Below are 17,243 nucleotides of genomic sequence, written 5' to 3'. Positions count from 1 at the left end.
GTCGCGGTGGAGCCGAGTTCTGGCTCCTCGGAAGAAACCACTGCCCAGACTCCCGGCCTGGGCTCCCTGGTTCCACCCCCTGGAGTCTCGGCTGTGTGGAGGGCTCTGTGCCCTGTGGATGTGCCAGGCTGGCACGATCCGTGCTGCCCATGCCCTGGCTGCCACTCCTGCCTGGGGACCTGCCTCAGCCCCTGCGAGTCACCATCCCACACCCTGGCACCATAGCCTCCCGGAGTGTGCCCATATCCTGTTAGTTACTAGCTAATTTTCCCAGCCAGGATGACAGGTCCTTCCACTGCAGAGACAGTAATTCGTGGAGTCATCCCAGGAGTGGCCCTGCGGGGTCATGTATTATTCATGGGAAACACTAATATTCCAGCCTGGAGTTCTTTTTTCATGGAAGCTGTGGGGTCTTCAGCCTTGTATCGACATTAACAGTTGAGACATGAGTAAAACACCATCACATCGGGGAAGCCTGATTAGGTTTAACGGGGGACAGAGAAGAAAAAAATTTTTTGTGTGTGTGTGTAAATGAAATGTCTTCTGAACAAACAGCCGAGCCTCGTTGGGTGCCCTGGGGAGTTTCCTGGGATTTCATGACGCACTCGGTCGCTGAGGAAGCAGGTGCTGACGGGCCGGCTGGCTTAATGTATTTGTGCAGTTGCAGTGTGGGACTGGGGTGGTCCTTGCTGCGGAGCTGTGGGCTGCCCACACCTGCCCCAAGGCAAGCTATGTGCTCCCCCAGGCCCTGGACCCAGTGCCTTTCCCTCCCAAGCATCCCTTAGTCTTTCCAGGGGTCTCAGGGTGGCCTTGGGGAGAGAAGGGAACCGAGGACCGCAGATCACTGTGCCAGTGGCCGCCTTCCCCCACCCCTTTGACTCCTAGGCTCTTAGGAGGGGTCAGGCCAGTCTAGAAAGCCAGCAGCTAGCACCCAGAGTGGGCATGCTGTCTCCCACACAGGCGTGGGCATGTTCTAGGCTCGTGCCCGTGAGCCCCCACCCTTCGGCACCCGCTGTAAGAGGAGCACTGTGATGACTCTAGTTTCCTGGACGAGGAACCCAGGCCAAGACCTGGGGGTCAGCTTGTCTGGGGTCATCTGGTATCCGACCCCAAGCCTGTGGTTTGCTGGGCCTCGGTTTCCCACCCCGAGGGCGGAAGAGCAGGCAGCACTGAGACCCCTTTCAGCTCAGCTCCAGATCCCTGCCGGACCTGCCTCAGGCCATCTTGATCTCAGCAAAGAGCTCCTCAGAAGTGAGGCTTCCCCAGGGACGGGGACGCGGTGTCCCTGCCCCCCTGGCAGGGGCGCTTCATTTCCATGCTGTTCGTGTCGTCTCCTTGCGAATGCGAATGACGGGCTGTCCGCCAGGGCCCAGCGTCCTGTAATTGGGGTAAGTGTCACTTTTGTTTCTGAGGTGGGGGAAATTAAATTGTGTGTGCACACAATTAATCTTGCTAATGGCAGCCTCCCTGGACCTAGAAATTAAATGTTAAGTATCTTGCAGCCAGCCGCTGGGATGACGCCCTTTGGAACAGATCAGTCGGCTCAGGCTCATGATACTAATTGGGGTGGAGTCTGGTGTTTGTCTAGCTCTGACCCTGTTTGGGGGACGTTGGTCTTATCGTGTCCACGATGAGGCTGAGACTTGGAGATGTGGAAGCTGGAAAAGCCCTTCCCAGAGCTGCATCCGTCTGTCTGTCCATCTGTGAGAGTGACGTGGCTCCTGGACACAGCGGTTTCTATGGAAACTGCCCCATGACCCAGGGCCGGTGGTGTAGGGACAGACATGTCTGGGCCTGCCTGTCCGTGTTTGGCCTTGGGTTCAAAAGAGCTGGAGGCCTGGAAGATCCAGGTGTGCGTGGCCCCCACATGCAGCTGCTGCTTTGTTTTGTTTTATTGACTGTGGTAAAATACACAGAACATAGCATTTAGCTTCTTAACCATTTTCCAGGGCACAGGTCGGTGGCTCTGAACACACTCACGTTGCTGTGCAGCCGTCACCACCGTCCGTCTCCCGAACTGCTTCATCCGCCCAGGCGGACACTCTGCCCCCATTCAGCGCTCACCCCAGCCTCCCCTGGCCCCTGGCTCCCCACTTCTGCTTGCTGTCTGCGTGAGTCTGCCGGCTCCAGGGGCCTCATGTAAGAGAGTCCTGCGGGGACCTCCTGTAGGGAGTCCCGTGGTATTTGTCCTTTGTGACTGGCTTATTTCCCTTAGCACAAGGCCCTCAAGGCTCATCCAAGGGGTGCTCCTGGGCAGGGTCTACCCTTCAGCCTAAGCTCGGGCTTGGGAACTGGGGGTTCCTGGTGGGGAGCATAGAGGAGTGGCTGCCTTCTGTGGACGCTGCGTTGCTCTACGTGGAAGAGGGTCGCTGTGAATGCGCCTCGTCTTTCCTTCAGGGCTGGTGGTGAGGAGGCTGGCCACGCAGGAGCCTTACCTTCCCTCCCCTGAAGATGCAAAAGCAGCCCCTGGGTGGGGGGCGGGGGATGGGAGGCAGAGGCAGGGGCAGGGGCGGTTCCTGGCCTCGCTGATCGCCGTGTCAGGCTGGCCGTCATCCCTCTGGTCTGTGTCCTGGCTGCTGTGATCTCATCCCTCAGCCTCTGATGTCCCTGGGGTGCTGGGGTTGGGGAGGGTCTCTGCTGGGGGTAAGTGGAGTCCGTGGTGTCCCCAGGGAGGCGCGTGGGGAATGTGTGTGTGACGGTGGTGATGGCTGCACAGTGTGAGTGAGTTCAGTGCTGCTGACTTGTGCATTTGAAAATGGTTAAGAAGTTACATTTTGTGGGGTGGGGTAGGGTGGGATCCGACCATGGCCCTGGGGCTGCCATTGCTGTTTTTAGAGTTAGGGCAGGATCTTAGGCCCTGTGAATTCCCTGGGGCCAGATGTCCACACCTCTGAAAATCCAGCTTCTGCTGGGGCATGCGCTCCCTGGAGTAGCAGGTGGGTGGGCTTGGAGCAGCTGCGTTCAGCTTTGTTTCCCATCCAAGGGGGTCTGGGGCCCTCACTGCCCCTTCCCCCACCCCCATCCTGGGGTGGTTTTATGCTTTGAGGCAATTAGTTTCCATGGGGAGTCCCTGAGGGCTGTGGAGGTGAAGAGGTCCCTTCCTGCTGAATGGGCCCAGCAGATGGCCCCTACCTCACCCTGCCCCAAAGGAGGTGCGATTTCTGCGTGGGGCCTGCTGTCTGGGCCCTCCTCTGAGTTGGGCTGAGCCCCAGGGAACCCCTCTGGGAACCACCACTGCTGAGGGAGAGCAGGAGGGCCCGGGGTGGGGAGGGGGGGCTTGGCACCTGCCTTGTCTGGCTTCCCTCCCCCATGGGACTGGGAAAGTCCTGCCTGAAGGGCCGCCTCTGCCCCTGGGCCTCCTGTGCATCTTGGAAGAGTGGAACACACCTTTTCCTGTCCACCTGCCCCAAGCCAGGGGACCTGTAAGCCCAGCAGACCCCTGGAGTATGGATTATGAACACAGGCTTTTGTGCTTGCAGAATTCACCTGCTCTCCTGGTAACAGAGCTCTGACCCTGTGTGCAGCCACTGGGGTTGTTCTGGACGTGGGTGTTGCCAGCGGAAGAGGAAGGTCTTGGCGGGGTGTGTAATGTGTGCAGGTGCCCCGCGGAGCAGGGCTGAGTGGGCTCTGTGCTGTCTCTGGGCCCATCTTGTTTTCTTGTCTCCAGTAGGAGATTGGGGATTTGCACCCCCCAGACACAGGCGCAAACACGTGGGCCTCACTGACTCCGACACGGGGCCCAGGCTCAGGTGTGTGGTGCTGTCAAGTCTGGGGCTTCCTCTTGTCTGGGACGAGGTTAGAGCTGGACCCTGGCCAGAGCTCAGACTGTGGCGTCAGATGGACATGGGTTTGAGTCCTTCAAGCTGGGTGACCTTCAGCAGGTTACTTAGCCTCTGAATTATAAAGGACCTCCCTGTGGCAGGGTTAGGCACGCGGTAGGCTCTGAGACTCCTCCTCCAGGATGGAGGCTTTGTGGCCACTGCTCAGATGCCTCTGGGCCGAGGCAAGCATCAGACGAGGCCCAGCCCCTCATGTGCTATTCTTGCGGAGTTTCTTGCATGTGGCGGAGCTTTCCCACCTGCAGGAAGCTTTGGGGTTGTCTGGGACCCTGGGTCCCACATGGGTGCTCCTTCCTGTCTTTCCCTCCCCGCCTGCTCCAGCCCCTTCACCCCTGGTTTCTGAGCTGCATCTCAGCCTCCCAGGGTGGCTCTGGGCCCGGCTGGGCCTTCCCGCCCCCCAGCTGTCAGTACGGAGATGGGACCAGACCAGTCTCCTGCACACGCTTCTCTCTCTGGGATTTGTAACAAGTTTAAAGTTGGTTGTCTAGCATAGTCCCCTTAATGGTGAGTTTGTAGGTAGCTGAGAACTCTGGTTCTCAGGAACACTCAGGAACACCTGAGTTTGGTTGTCACCAATGGGCCGTCCCAGTGGCGCCTGTGGTTCCTTCCAGCCCAAGGGTAAGTGGGTGAGTGCTTTGTGAAGGGTTTGTGCCGGCACCGTGGTGGGTTTGCGAGGTCAGGGAGATGGCATGGAGCGTGTGCCCACCTCCATCTTGGGGCAGCTGAGCATCACCTGGTGAGGCCAGATGCAGAGTCCAGTCATTTCAGAGCTGTTAGATGGAAATTGGAGGTGGGGGCCCAGCAGAACACCACACCAAGCTTGGGAGGGGTCCGCCCTGGGGTCACGTCTCCCCTGCGGCCTGAGCACCTTGCTTGTGTAAAATCTGAATGGCATTGCACGCTCCTGGCGGTGCACCATTATTAGTAAATACGACACTTGCAGAGTCCACAGTGGCAGGCCCTCAGGAAGTACCGGCCACCGCTGTGCCCTTGGATCAAGACTTGTTTTGGAATGAGAGGGCTCTGAGAAACACAAATCGCTGGGCCATGTTTGCTCATCGATGTGACAGGGATGCCTGAGTACACCGACCTTGAACTTGTGGGGAAGAAGCAGAGGCAGACAGTGCAGCTGGGCAGGGCAGGCGCTTCCACTGCGGCTGGACATGGACCAAGTAGACAGCCGCGGGGGCTGCATACATGCCCTTCCCTGGGCCGCCCTTGGTTGAGTGGGCTCAGAAGTTCAGAAGAATCAATCGCAGGACACTGGAGCAAATGAAGTCACTGGTTCAGAGAAGATTCATGCATTTTGATGAATATTGGCTGTGCTTGCCAGTCCTCTGGAGAGAACCCTCCAGAAGGGCCCAACTTATCTAGGCTCTGCCTGTCACTGTGGCTGGCTCAGATGGTGTCATCGGCCTGGAAGTGGAGCCTTTGGCATTATCTTTGGAGTCTTTGGAATGATCTAGGCTCCACCTGTCACTGTGGCTGGCTCAGGTGGGTTCATCAGGCTGGAAGTGGGGCTGAGGGTGTGAGTTGTGGACAGCGCTGCGCCCCTCTGGCTGAGTGGGAGGGGATGCTTGTGTGCACCTGTGGTCTCTGATAGAGCTGCCTGCCCAGTGGTGCTTCCTTCCCTGGGTGTTTGGTTCTGCTCCCTACCAGCATTCTCACGGAGCCGTCAAGCTTATCCGTGTGTTTTGAGTGAATAAAGCTAATTAAAAATCTTTGGAGTTAAAACATTTTTAAAGCCAGAGGTGTTTTTTTTTGTTTTTCTTTTTAGCAAGCTTCTTATTGAAGCATCTTATGCATATAGAAAAAGGCAGCTGTGCCAAGCGGTCAGCTTGCTGATGTTCCATAAAGTAACAGCCTGGGAACCAGCCTGGGTGGAGAGGCTGGCCTGGGTGGAGAGGCTGGCCTGGGTGGGCCAGCATCTGTTGAGTGCTTGCGGAGTCCCCACCACGCCCCCCAGGCTGGCACCCCCCTCCCTAATTAATTGACAAAGTGTGGCGGGCGTTGAGAAGGGCAGCCAGCCCACTGCAGTGAGCACCCAAGCGCCTAAGGAAGCACTGCTTTGATGAGCGTCCTTTGAGTTGTACTTTGGAGGAGCCTGGGGTCCAGCTGGGAGGCAGGACGCGTGGTGGTGGTGGGTAATGATCACATGTTCATTCAGTGTGCTCCCGTGCTGCTCATCTAGGTGGCTTCATTGCACGTGTGCACGTGGGGGTTGGTTACCATTTATTTTGGATTCCCTCTCTTTGCTCATGAGTTGCTAGAATCATTTTTTTTTTTTGGTTGAGACTGAGTCTGGCTGTTGCCAGGCTGGAATGCAGTGGCGCAATCTCAGCTCACTGCAACCTCCGCCTCGCTGCAACCTCCGCCTCCCGGGTTCAAGTGATTCCCCTGCCTCAGCCTCCCAAGTAGCTGGGACTACAGGTGTGCGCCACCGTGCCCAGCTAATTTTTTTGTATTTTAGTAGAGACGGGGTTTCACCATATTGATCAAGATGGTCTTGATCTCCTGACCTTGTGATCTGCCTGCCTCAGCCTCCCAAAGTGCTGGGATTACAGGTATAAGCCACCACACCGGGCCTACTAGAATCAATTTAAGCAAAGTTGCTAGTCACCTGTGGACCTCAAGTGTGAGTTTTGGGGTGTACTTGAGCCTCACAGTGGCACTGGATCCCGGGAGGGCTTCTCGTCCGCCACCTTGGGTAGTGAGCTCCCTGTCATGGGAAGCATGCAAGAAGCTGCTGGTGGCATTGCACAGGTGACCGGAAGCCTCCCCAGGTCCAGTGCCTGAGGGCCTGCTCCGGCCGAGCTGAAACCTGCCTGCTGCTGGGCCGCCTGCCTGCCGTGGCTGGGGATGACTTGGGAGTCTCTGCTGGGCTGTCTGCCTGCCGTGGCTGGGGATGACTTGGGAGTCTGCAGGGTGAGTGGTTGTTCTATCCCCTCATTGTTTCAACATGTTCCGACGAATTTTTAAGTGGCTGAGCTGCTGCAGCAGGTCAGCAGCTGACTCGGCTCTGTTCCTCTCCCTGGCCCTGACTGCCCACTGTGGCTCACACCCGTCAGCCCCACACTCACTTGGCACACCCCGGCAGGGAGGCTGTCTCAACGGATGGGTCTCTGCGCCTTCGCTCCTCTGTGGGTCCGCCATTTGTGCAGAGAATCGTTGTCAATTACCAGGGCTCTTCGCATGATTAGGGGAACGTGAAATGAGCAAATGATGAAGGGCCCATCTGCTCCAGGAGTGGTGTGTGGGGACAGCCGAGTCTTTTGCAGGCTCAGGGACTTGACTTTCCATGCCAATTAGGAGGGAAGGATCCAGAGAGAGCAGCAGGGGGTGGGGACATAGGGATGGAGCCTGGGGAGGTTGTTCCCTGGGAAAGAGGGCCATTAGGGGGCCAAGCCTGGCATGGGGTGGGTGTGGGGCCCACATCCCGAACCCAGGGTGCCAGAGGCCTCTGGGGAAGGTGGAACCCCTGTCCCTGCAGTCACAGCACACCGTCCCTGACTTCTTGGCATGGCAGAGTCCCTCTTGTCCTCCTGGGCCTCTCAGCTGTCGCCCCCTGCTCCCTGGGGGTCCTGTCTCAGTGGCTGGCTGCCTCTGCTGCAGGGGTTCAGGGGCCCCAGGGGTCACCTTATGACATTTGTATCCCTGAGTCTGTCTGCTCTGAAGGGCTGAGCGCTGTGTTTGTGACATTTATCCTTTTTCTGGCGTCCACTCTCTGCCATAGCCAAGTATCACGGACCTGGTGCCGCAAAACAAGGGGGATTTATTCTGCCCTCTCCTGGAGGCCAGAATTCCAAACTCAAGGTGTTGTCGGCAGGGCCACGCTCCTTCCAGAGGTCGCGGGGGTGGGGATCTGACTTCACATGGCCTCCCCTTTCTCCCTATGTCTTTTCTCTTCTTTTGAGGGCCCTGGTCACAGTGGATTAAGGGCCCACCTTACTCCAGGGTGACCTCATCGTCACTCATGACATCCGCTGTGATCCTATTTCCAAAGAAGGTGGCATTCTGAGGTTCCAGGAAGGACATGAACCGTAGGGGATGCTCTCCAGCCCCGTACAGATGTCGGCTGGCTGTGACGGCAGCATGTTCGGGCCAGGCACAGCAGGGCCGCCCCTTTGGGGCTGTGAAGGCTGAGCGGACAGGGTCTGTGCCCTTGGCGGCCTGCGTGCTTCACCTGCTTCACTGCAGGGTTCAGTCTGGACCCAGCATGTTCTTTGCCTTGCTTTCTGTTTATTGACAGTCTGCTTCCTGCCCTGGAATCTCCGAGAGCTCTGCAGGGCATGGCTGGGCCTGTCTGTCCACTGTGTCCCGTACAGCCTGGGGCCTGCCACACAGCTATCTGGGGATGGCTGCCTCTTGCCTCTTTTGTTTTCGGCACTGTATCTCTTGGGAGAGGAACCTTCTGGAGAGTCAGTGGAGACTAGGTTGAAACCTTGACGCCCTCCTTTGTAGCCCCGCACACTCGCTGGGCACCTGGCAAGCAGGAGGCGTCATGCTGGGATCCTGTGCCAGGCGCCCTGGCAGGTTCTCAGCACGTACTTGCTGCGTGTCTGATCTGCGCCCTCCCCAGTGTTGCCGTGATGCCAGCCGGGGCCACTGAACTCTTCCGCCCCCACACGCTGCCTGGAGTAGTATGAAGGATGGAGTTGGTTTTGATAGGACATTAAATAATTAATTCCTGTCTGGGCTGAAAATATAGAATATTAAATTATACATTTGGTATCAGACACATGAGAGGGCCTCTCAAAGTTCCCGGCCACTTGTAGGCCACCCTCAAGGACGTCTGGGACCTCGGCGGTTTCCAGTGGCTGGCTGCCAGGCCCACCATGGATCTCAGGCCTTTCTCTGCACCTTCCCCCTTCCTTGTGTTCCCAGCTGTGGACTGTGTTCCTCGTCAGTTCCTCGTCTCCACCTGCTGCCTCTGCTGGAGGCTCGAGCTGCCTGGGAATCCGTCAGAGCTTGCCTTGGAGACTCCTTTGCAGCCTTCATGCAGGGCCTCCCCTCCTGTCACCCAGGCCCCTGATGGGATGCAGGAGAGCTGGGCGCTCCTCCTTCTCAGTCCTGTTCACAAGCCCCGTCTCACTGGGAGGAACCTTGTGGGGCAAGTCCAGACACATTCCAGAGGGCCTTGTCCCACGTCTGCGCTCCGCTATCTGCAGATAGCATCATGCCTGCGGGAAGGCCGCATCTCTCTGTGTCTGGAGCCCATGGCTCCAAGGCAGCTTTTCTGGGGACAAGTTCTCCGGGTCGTATGGTGGGAAGCCCAGCAGCCTGAAGGCCAGTCCTAGCTCCACCACCTCGGGCCCTGTGCCAGCAGGGCCTCTCTCCCTGCCCAGCCTCTCTGGGACGTGGGTGGGCCATGGCCCCCAGCTCTGGGCTGCTGGCCCCTTGCTGAACCTGCCCCTGTATGGAGGGGGGTGTTGCTGCCCCCGGGAGCACCTGACAGTGGGGGGACTGTGCTGTAGCCACCGAAGGCAGCACCTAGGCTCATGCCCAGGGATCCTTGCAGTTCACCTGCCTCCATCCTGAGCCACGGCCAGTGTCCTGGAGGGCCGACCGCAGAAGCTGACCTGCTGCCCACCTGACCTGCCAAAGGGGCAGCCCCTGCTTTACCTAGATATTTTAGAGCAGTTTTAGACTTAGCAAAATTGAGAAGCTAGTGCAAAAGAAGATTGTATTCCACACCCGGGTCCCCCATCCATACCTCACAGTAGTTGGTGCTTTGGTTACAATGAATGAACCAGTGTGGACACATTGTCACTAACTGAAGTGACTCTGGCTTCCTCAGTTTCCCCTTTATGTCCTCTGTCCCAAGACCCATCAGGGACTGCACATCACATTCACTTGGCCATCTCTTGGTCCCCTGGGCGGTGGCATTGGCAGTGCCCCCCGCACCCACCCCTTCTTCATATACAAGATTCCTACTGGAGAAGCTGTCCCTGGTGCTTCGTGTAAAAGGCATCTTTTATAAAACCATCGGTCAGATCCAGCCTTTTCTGACCTGGGAGTTCCCCATGGCTGCCCCTAAGGCCATTGTCCTTCCCTGCCCGCCTTTATCATCTCATGAGTCCCTGAGCCTGGCTGACAGGTCCCTCACCACCTGCCTGGTTCAGAGGCTCCCTCTCAGCTCAGCTGCTTCCTGCCCACTCTCCCTCCCCGTGCTGCCTGCCGGCTCTTTCCTCCGGTGGGGCACACAGAGCTTCTTGGGGACACACCTTGTACCCTGGTGTCCAGGGCTGCTCGTGAGTGCCAAGTGGGCAAGGGGCTGGTGGAGGGATGCCTAGCCCCTCTTCCTGCAGACGGCGCAGGTGGGTCCAGGTGGGTCCTTCCTTGGCCTGTCTTCCCCATGCAGCGTCTCTTCTTTCTCCTCTACTTCCAGATGGCCTTGTCCTTATCCGTGTCCTCACTCTCATGGTTTAGAAAATCTTTTCTGGGAAAAGTGCATTTTTGAATCCTACCCTTAGACAGGAAAAGAAAAATCCATAAAGTGGCCATTTTGGGAAGTCCCTTGATGGGCCAGGATTAAGCAGTCATCAAGGTAAAACCGCTTGGAAGCAAATCTGGATGCCAGAGCTTCGTCTGCGGCCGGTTTCCATCTGTTTCCATAAACACAAAGCACCGGGGAGGAAAAATCACTTTAGACTTTTTTCCTGCAGGGGCTCACATTGCACAGATCGGACTTGCAGCTCGCAAGGCGGTAGGGATTCTCGGATAGGTTCTGCTTTGGAAGGGAGAGCAGGTTCTTGGTGGTTCATCTGAGCCAGCAGTGCTGTTCGTCCTGGTGTGTGCGGCTTGTTGCTTAGATTTGCATTTGGCAGAGGACTCAGATGTGCACTTGGTTGCCCTGTGGGTCTGTAATGTCAGGTGCTCAAGGCTGTGGCAGTGCCCCGGGGCCACCTACTGATCGATGCCTTCTTATAGGAGGCTTGCCCACATTTATGGTGAGCCTCTGACACACACTTGTCCATCCTGCAGGCCTCAAGGTGACAGCAGCCCCTCCAGAGGGCCTTCTCTGATTCCTGGACATCTCCTGCCCCTTGCTTTGCTTGATTAGGGACTCTGCTGGACTCCCCTGCTTCCCAGCTGCTCTGTTCTTTACCCTGCGGCATTGATCACACCCTGCTGGTTCCTTGGAGCTCCAGAGGTCACCCTAGCACAGTGCTTGGTACGCAGCAGCTGCTCAAAGTGTATTGCACACCTGAGTGAGGAAGCAAGAGCCCCCAGAGGGCCTCGTTACAGAGGAGGGCCTGGGGCGCAGAGAGCTCCGGCACTGCTGCGAGTCTGCAGCTGAGACGGGGTCCAGAGCCAGGTTCAGCAGCACAAGCCCGGCCCGGTCCCCTCTGGAAGACTATGTCACAGGATGCCTGGGATGGGGGCGGATGATGCCTGGGGAACGGGGGGATCCTGAGGAGACACCTCCCTGCCCCTGCCCCACCATGCTCCTGCTCCATGGAGTCAAAGGCTGGATTTGTTGATCTCTCGAATGGGGCGACCCGACCCTGGGGAAAAGGTTTCTGCCCCTGCGGAGGAGCCTGGCATATGTGCAAAGGAGGCCAGGCTGCCCGGGCCGAGGGCGCTTCCACTCCGAGTGCTCAGCTGCTGTCCCTGGCCCCTGCCCCCACTGCCCACAGCTTTGCACACCCATTGGAAACCCACTGGCTGGATCGGGACCCCCTGGTGTGGGTGGCGGGGACGTGGCCACTGCTTGGGGGATCCCCCTGCGGTTGTGACTTCCTGGGAATCCTCCTCCTGAGACGGGCGGCAGGTGGGGTCAGCAGGGATGGCCTCTCAAAGGTTAAGCTCTGTCCTGTGACAGACATGCACAGAGGACTTGGCGGTGGTGGAGGTGGGGGCTTGCATCTGCAGGAGGGGCAGCAACGATGATGGTGACTGCAGCGGGGCAGCCGTGGGCAGTGTGTTGTCTCCCTTACTCTTGCGGGTGCCGCTGCCCCCATCTCACAGCTGAGGAAACCAAGACTCTGCCTCACTCACCATGGGCCACCTGGCTGGGGATGGATGGGGAGCTGCGTTGGCCAGATTCTGAACAATCTTAGTGCTCAGTTCGGTCAGATCCTTTCAGAAACACACAGCCTCGATCGTGCTTGGGTCGCAGTTGGCTCTGTAGTGCGTGTGGTTCGTGTGAGGCCTTCCTTGTGTGGCTCCTACGGCCGCAGAGGTGCCAGCAACCTGTCCCTGGCCTCTGAGCCTCCCCTGGCTGCCACATGTCAGCAGAGGTGCCTGCCCCGTGGTACACCCGGAGCATCTGTGAGACGCAGGCCGGCGGAGAGTGCTGAGCTCAGCCCTACGCTGAGACTGGCAAAGAGACTTCGCCTGCTGAGCCTAAGGGCCTGGGTGGGCCCCACACCCTCCTTCACCGTCAGACAGCCTAGGGGAGAAATAGTGGGGGGTGTCGGGGGGCCAAGTGCTTTCCCAGGCCCTTCCAGGCACTCCTGCGGGAGTTCAGAGCAGGAGCAGGTGTGGAGTTGACGTCGCAGAGGAGATTCACGCACCTTCCTGTCCTGTGTTAACGCTTGCACTTAATAACCGAGTTACTAAGTCATCGCTTCAGAGATAAGGGTAGACACTGGAAAGTTATTGCCGTAGTGTTAGAGATACAGTTATTAGTCCCCTTCCCATTAAAATGGCCATTAATTAGGGAGGCCAGTGAAGCCACTGGAAACCCATCAGCCCCTCCAGGTGATGGCTACTGTCACCTGTCCCCATTAGCAGACTGGGAACGTGCAGTGGATGACCAGGCCATGAGAGGGGGGTTCTGGGGTGAGGCTCAGTCGGGAGGCTGAGGCCTTTCCTTCTGGGTGCTTTCCCTTTAAGAGCTTGCATCAGACCATCTAGCTGATGTGTGCAGGTGACCACTCTGACCCTCAGTTTCATCATTTGACAAGGGGCATAGTAACATTGACCTCATTGGGTGGTTGAGGATTCATGGAGGCAGTGGGGTAACTTTTGAGCCCAGAGCCGAACGTGTCACCCAGAACACAAGCACTGGCTCTTCCAAGAAGGTTCCTGGCAGTGTGATGGTCCCACCCTGCTTGTGGGCAGTGGCTGATTTTGGGCTTGTCCGCCTGGCCAGTGGATTGCTGTGTGTCTGGGGTGTGGGTCCCAGCTTTGTGGGCTGCATCTTGGCATCGTTGTGCAGAGTGTGGAGTGTGCCAGTTACCTGCTGGGGAAGAAAGGCGCTGGCAACTGTTTGAGGGCGGAGGGAGCCTCTCCTCGTACAGCCAGGGCATCCCGAGGCCAGAGGAAGGTGGCAGAAGGGGGTCTAGCAGGCCGGGCGGGGGTTCTGTGGGAAACAGAAATGGGGTGGTGGTGGCTCAGATAACCACGTGCCTCTCAGCCTCCCCTTTCCCCAGGTGGGTGGGGAGGGAGACTCGGGGCAGGCAGCGACTTGCTGAAGGCCACACCAAGGGTTTAAGCTCAGCCTTGCCCAGACGCCAGCCCTGGCATCCCCTGCCTTCCCCTCTGTAGCTGGCCACTGTGCGTCCAGACCCCGGTGGCCAGCCTCCCCCATTGTCCCCGTTCTTCAGGCCAGCCCTTTCTGTGTCTCCTGGCAGAAAGGACAGAGATGGTTTCTCTCTTCCCTGCCTCACCCCTGCACCCAGGCAGCCTTGATCAGCCTTTTAAACAGTTCTGGCTGTGTCCTCTCTGGCTGTGTCCATCCCTGTGGCCTCCTGCCCAGGCCTTCCTGCCATCGTGCACCTGGCCTGGTTAGAAGACTCCTTGGGGCCGCCCCCCTCCCGCGGTCCTGCCTTCCCTCCACCCAGTATCCTCTTTGCAGCCTGAAGCATCTCTCAAACACCAGCCTGACCCTGCACTCCCACTGCCCCAGGCGAGGCCAGCTCCTTGGCCCTGTGTCCGACAGGCCTCCGCTCTTTGGTCCCCTGTGTGGCCATGGCCGCTCTCCGGGCCTGTGCGTGGGCTCTGCCCCTGCACGTTCTCCTGGCCTTGGCTGACTGGCTGCTCTCCCTCAGTCCCAGGGGGCCTGCCTTCCTTAGGGGAATAGTCTTTGCTCCACACCCACCCCGTCCCTTGCCCCCTACCACTCTTGTCTCCACAGCGCCTCTGCTGGCAGCGGTCAGTGGTGCTGGGCGTGGGAGCAGGGCGTGCCTGAATGGGGCCATCCCAGGGGAGATGCATGCTCCTTTCCAATATTGTATTAGTCAGGGTTCTCCAGAACAGCAGCGCTGATAGCATATGGATAGATAGGAAGATTTAATACCAGGGACTGGCTCACACGATCCTGGGGGCTGAGAAGTCCTGAAACCAGCTGCTGTGAAGCTGGAGGTCAGGAAGGCTGGTAGTGCAGCTCCAGTCCTGATCCGAAGGCCCAAGACCCAAGGGGCCTGATGGCGTGAGTCCCAGTCTGAGCCCAAAGGCCTGAGAACGACGAGCGTCGATGTCCGAGGGCAGGAGATGATGGCTGTGCCCGCTGGGCAGTGAGTGAATAAGGCCTTCGTCTGCCATCATGACCTGTTTGGGCCCCCGCAGTTGGGTGAGGCCCGAGGGCACGGGAGGCGTCTGCTATACTCGGCTGCCGACTCAGATGCTGGTCTCCTCTGGAAATGCTGCCCAGCCACTCCGGAGGTAATGTCCTACCTGCCCTCTGGGTACCCCTTAGCCCAGGCAGGATGGTGCCGTAGCATTAGCCACATTAGCCATCACAAACGTCAATTCATTCTATAGCCTCTTGTGCTAGAGGGGACTGGAGCGGGGGCCTCGCGTGTGTTCCTGCGGTGTTTCTCAGCAGGTCCTGGCGCAGGGCAGTTGGTAGCTGAGCTTTTGAAGGGACTGGCAGGGTCAGTCCTGCCGTGCGCTGCAGTGCCGGGCAGTCTGTGCCTCCAAGGGGATCGCCTGTTTCTTTGCTACTTTATCATAGGCCTGCGCCTCCTCCAGGCAGCCCTCACTTCGAGCTGCTCAGACTCTCTGACTACAATTCTGGGTTGCCCAGAGCCTGCCTTTTGTCTGTGGGGCCCCCTCTGCCTGCTCAGGGCCTGCCCTCTGCCTGATGAGCTCCTTAGCCGGCAGAAGGGTGGCCTGTTCCCATCAGCTGTGGATAGCTCCCCGGGGCTGTGGCGCTGGGCTGTGTGGTGGGGGCAGTTGGCTCTGTGAAGCCAGGCCAGGCAGTGGCTGGGGACTGGGTCTGGCCTTGGCACGGAGGGTTCGGCACTCGGCTCTGGCCCTGTGAACCCGGGTTCCCAGCCCACCCTGAGTGACCTCCTGAGCCCCGGCTTGCACACACGTGACCTGAGCGTGGTGAGAGTTCAGAGCTTGGGGGCAGTGAAAGAAACGCAGGTGATCCCGTGAAGCGCTCAGTCTGGGGTCTGCAGCGGGAGAGCCTGTGATTCTGTTTTTATGGTGACCGTCCTCATTCCCACCCTTGTTCTTTCTGGGGCTGCTCTGCCCCGACTGGCTATGGGGCCTTGGATGAGACGCACCCATTTCTAGACCCGTCTTCTCTGTGTGTAAGGTGAGGGTTCTGGACGCATGTTTCCCCCAAGGCCTCTTGCAGCTCGGACCATGCACAGCGCCTGGCTCCATGAGGCCTCCACGCCCCACTTCCTGCCTGGACAGTCTGCAGTTGTGGGCTGGGGAGGGAGATGGATCCTAGGGTCCCACATGGGAATCTGCCTGTGTAGACGCCTGTGTTCCAGCCCCTTGGTTCACTGTCTCCACCTCTGGGAAGAGGGAAGGGTCCAAGGAAGAAGCAGCGCAGGAGGTTCTTGGAGGGGGCAAGACATCTGTGTAGAGAGTGGGGTGGTGTGGGGGAGGCCAGAACCCCTCCCTCCTGCCCTTGAGGTGCTGTTCCCATAACCCCACCTTGGCCTCAAGGTCTGGGCGGGTACCTTGAGCTTCCTGTGGGATTCTTGTACCTTGGAGGCAGTGACTCACGCGCTAGGCAGCAGATCTGTGTCATGGTCTCCGGCCTTGCCTCTGATTAAAGAGGGACTGATGCGGCTCGTCTGCAGCCTGGGTCTGGGATGCCTCCCACACTGGAACCCACCTTTATCCCCGCTTTTTCCTGGTGGACAGGGGAGGGAGGCGCCATCTGTGCCTGGCTCCTGCAGCCACAGCAGCGCTGAGTGATGCCCAGGAGGGGCTGGGGAGTGTCTCTGGGAATGAGAGAGCAGCATTCGCAGACAGTGAGTGGCCCAGCCTGCCCAGCCAGTCTTGCTGGGACAGGTTTACTGGCCTTGCAGGCTGCAGGCCCCCACTCAGAAACCTTGCTTTCATGCCTGGAGGCTGTGGTTTGTCCCTCAGCTTCAAATCCAGGATGGATAGCCGGCCCTCCAGGGCAGGGCGGCGTGGAGAGCCGGGCTCTGCTGCCAGAGGCACCAGCTGTCTGCCCCAGCCCCGGTGACTCCTCCTCAGAAAGGGGAGAGCCACAGAACCATCTCGTGGGGGGTTTTGAGGGAATAAAATGAAATAAACCTGGGAAAGATCTGGCAGGCAGGAGGCCTAGACGGTGGTTAGCTGTCCTGGAGGACGCCGTGTCTGGGAGAGACGAGCCTCAGGCTCCAAACAGGAACCCCTCGTTCTAGGCTGGGCCCTGCCTGGAAGTTGCTGGGTGGGCTTGTGAAGCTCTTGCATCTTCCCAGCTGGGTTTTAGGTTTCCCATCTCAAAATTGGAGAATTTGGACCAGATGGCTGCTAAGCTGCTTCCATGAAGGACGGGAAATTCCCCCCAACAGCCCCTGACCCCCGACTGATTCCTGTAGAGTTTCCTGGTGGGGAGCAGCTGCCGCCTGATGCAGCTGCCTCATGCAGCTTGCCCAGCCCTGGGACACAGGGCTTCCGTGCTGGCATTAGGAACAGTGGGCAGTCAGTGTTCAGGGGACCTGAGGCTATTGGTCCAGGCGTTTCCCAGGGCAGTGCCGCTCCTGTCTTGGGTGCTGATTGCTTTCACAGGCAGCGTCTGCCCGGAGCACTGTGCAGAGACAGCTGCAGAGGCCAGTGTCTTCAGCAGGGGCATGGTGACCAGCTAGTGACTCCACCGTGAGCACAGTGGGACTGGGAGTGTGGCAGGACGCCCTTTGCCATCTGTATGTCTTGCGGTTTCCTTATTCCACACACAGGGAAACCGAGGCCCAGAGAGGAGTGGCTGAGATCGTCCGTGGCAGGCTTAGGACTTGATCCCAGCTCTGGCGTAATGTCCTGGTCTGAGCCTCTGTACTGTTTTGCTCAGGATCTCAGATTAAATTGCAGCTTCCCTCACATGCCCAGCACAGAGCAGGCACTCAGCTAACATGTGAGCCCAGTTGCTGTTGTGTGTTTTCCTGTCTTCCTTCCTCCCTCCCCCACCCCCCCGCCCCCTCCCTCTGTCGCCCAGGCTGGAGTGCAGTGGCTCAAGCTTGGCTCACTGCAACCTCCGCCTCCTGG

The 17,243-nt window shown here is 58.6% G+C and overlaps 1 protein-coding gene across 9 annotated transcripts in view, besides 9 other annotated features; it reads left to right on the top strand.

The window, feature by feature from the left end:
* VAV2 (vav guanine nucleotide exchange factor 2) overlaps positions 1–17,243 on the top strand; it is a 230,431-nt gene that overhangs the window by 102,046 nt on the left and 111,142 nt on the right. The gene's annotated exons all lie outside the window — the stretch shown is intronic.
* Positions 944–1,638: an enhancer, noted in NCBI's record as "H3K27ac-H3K4me1 hESC enhancer chr9:136753763-136754457 (GRCh37/hg19 assembly coordinates)". NCBI's record gives its function as "activates a minimal SCP1, AML or CMV promoter by ChIP-STARR-seq in naive H9 embryonic stem cells {active_cell/tissue: H9 hESC(naive)}" and the evidence as "EXISTENCE:reporter gene assay evidence [ECO:0000049][PMID:30033119]".
* Positions 944–2,334: a biological region, named in NCBI's record as "MED14-independent group 3 enhancer GRCh37_chr9:136753100-136754299".
* Positions 1,102–2,301: an enhancer, noted in NCBI's record as "MED14-independent group 3 enhancer chr9:136753100-136754299 (GRCh37/hg19 assembly coordinates)". NCBI's record gives its function as "activates an origin of replication core promoter dependent on BRD2, BRD4, P300/CBP and CDK7 cofactors, and independent of MED14, by STARR-seq in HCT116 cells {active_cell/tissue: HCT116}" and the evidence as "EXISTENCE:reporter gene assay evidence [ECO:0000049][PMID:35650434]".
* Positions 1,639–2,334: an enhancer, noted in NCBI's record as "H3K27ac-H3K4me1 hESC enhancer chr9:136753067-136753762 (GRCh37/hg19 assembly coordinates)". NCBI's record gives its function as "activates a minimal SCP1, AML or CMV promoter by ChIP-STARR-seq in naive H9 embryonic stem cells {active_cell/tissue: H9 hESC(naive)}" and the evidence as "EXISTENCE:reporter gene assay evidence [ECO:0000049][PMID:30033119]".
* Positions 5,535–6,268: an enhancer, noted in NCBI's record as "H3K4me1 hESC enhancer chr9:136749133-136749866 (GRCh37/hg19 assembly coordinates)". NCBI's record gives its function as "activates a minimal SCP1, AML or CMV promoter by ChIP-STARR-seq in primed H9 embryonic stem cells {active_cell/tissue: H9 hESC(primed)}" and the evidence as "EXISTENCE:reporter gene assay evidence [ECO:0000049][PMID:30033119]".
* Positions 7,003–7,736: an enhancer, noted in NCBI's record as "H3K27ac-H3K4me1 hESC enhancer chr9:136747665-136748398 (GRCh37/hg19 assembly coordinates)". NCBI's record gives its function as "activates a minimal SCP1, AML or CMV promoter by ChIP-STARR-seq in naive H9 embryonic stem cells {active_cell/tissue: H9 hESC(naive)}" and the evidence as "EXISTENCE:reporter gene assay evidence [ECO:0000049][PMID:30033119]".
* Positions 12,877–13,610: an enhancer, noted in NCBI's record as "H3K27ac-H3K4me1 hESC enhancer chr9:136741791-136742524 (GRCh37/hg19 assembly coordinates)". NCBI's record gives its function as "activates a minimal SCP1, AML or CMV promoter by ChIP-STARR-seq in naive H9 embryonic stem cells {active_cell/tissue: H9 hESC(naive)}" and the evidence as "EXISTENCE:reporter gene assay evidence [ECO:0000049][PMID:30033119]".
* Positions 13,611–14,346: an enhancer, noted in NCBI's record as "H3K27ac-H3K4me1 hESC enhancer chr9:136741055-136741790 (GRCh37/hg19 assembly coordinates)". NCBI's record gives its function as "activates a minimal SCP1, AML or CMV promoter by ChIP-STARR-seq in naive H9 embryonic stem cells {active_cell/tissue: H9 hESC(naive)}" and the evidence as "EXISTENCE:reporter gene assay evidence [ECO:0000049][PMID:30033119]".
* Positions 15,132–16,331: an enhancer, noted in NCBI's record as "CDK7 strongly-dependent group 2 enhancer chr9:136739070-136740269 (GRCh37/hg19 assembly coordinates)". NCBI's record gives its function as "activates an origin of replication core promoter dependent on BRD2, BRD4, P300/CBP, MED14 and CDK7 cofactors, with strong dependence on CDK7, by STARR-seq in HCT116 cells {active_cell/tissue: HCT116}" and the evidence as "EXISTENCE:reporter gene assay evidence [ECO:0000049][PMID:35650434]".

Source organism: Homo sapiens, chromosome 9 (genome assembly GCF_000001405.40).
Source record: "Homo sapiens chromosome 9, GRCh38.p14 Primary Assembly".
Taxonomy (NCBI): domain Eukaryota; kingdom Metazoa; phylum Chordata; class Mammalia; order Primates; family Hominidae; genus Homo; species Homo sapiens.
This window is presented reverse-complemented; position numbering and strand designations above follow the sequence as displayed.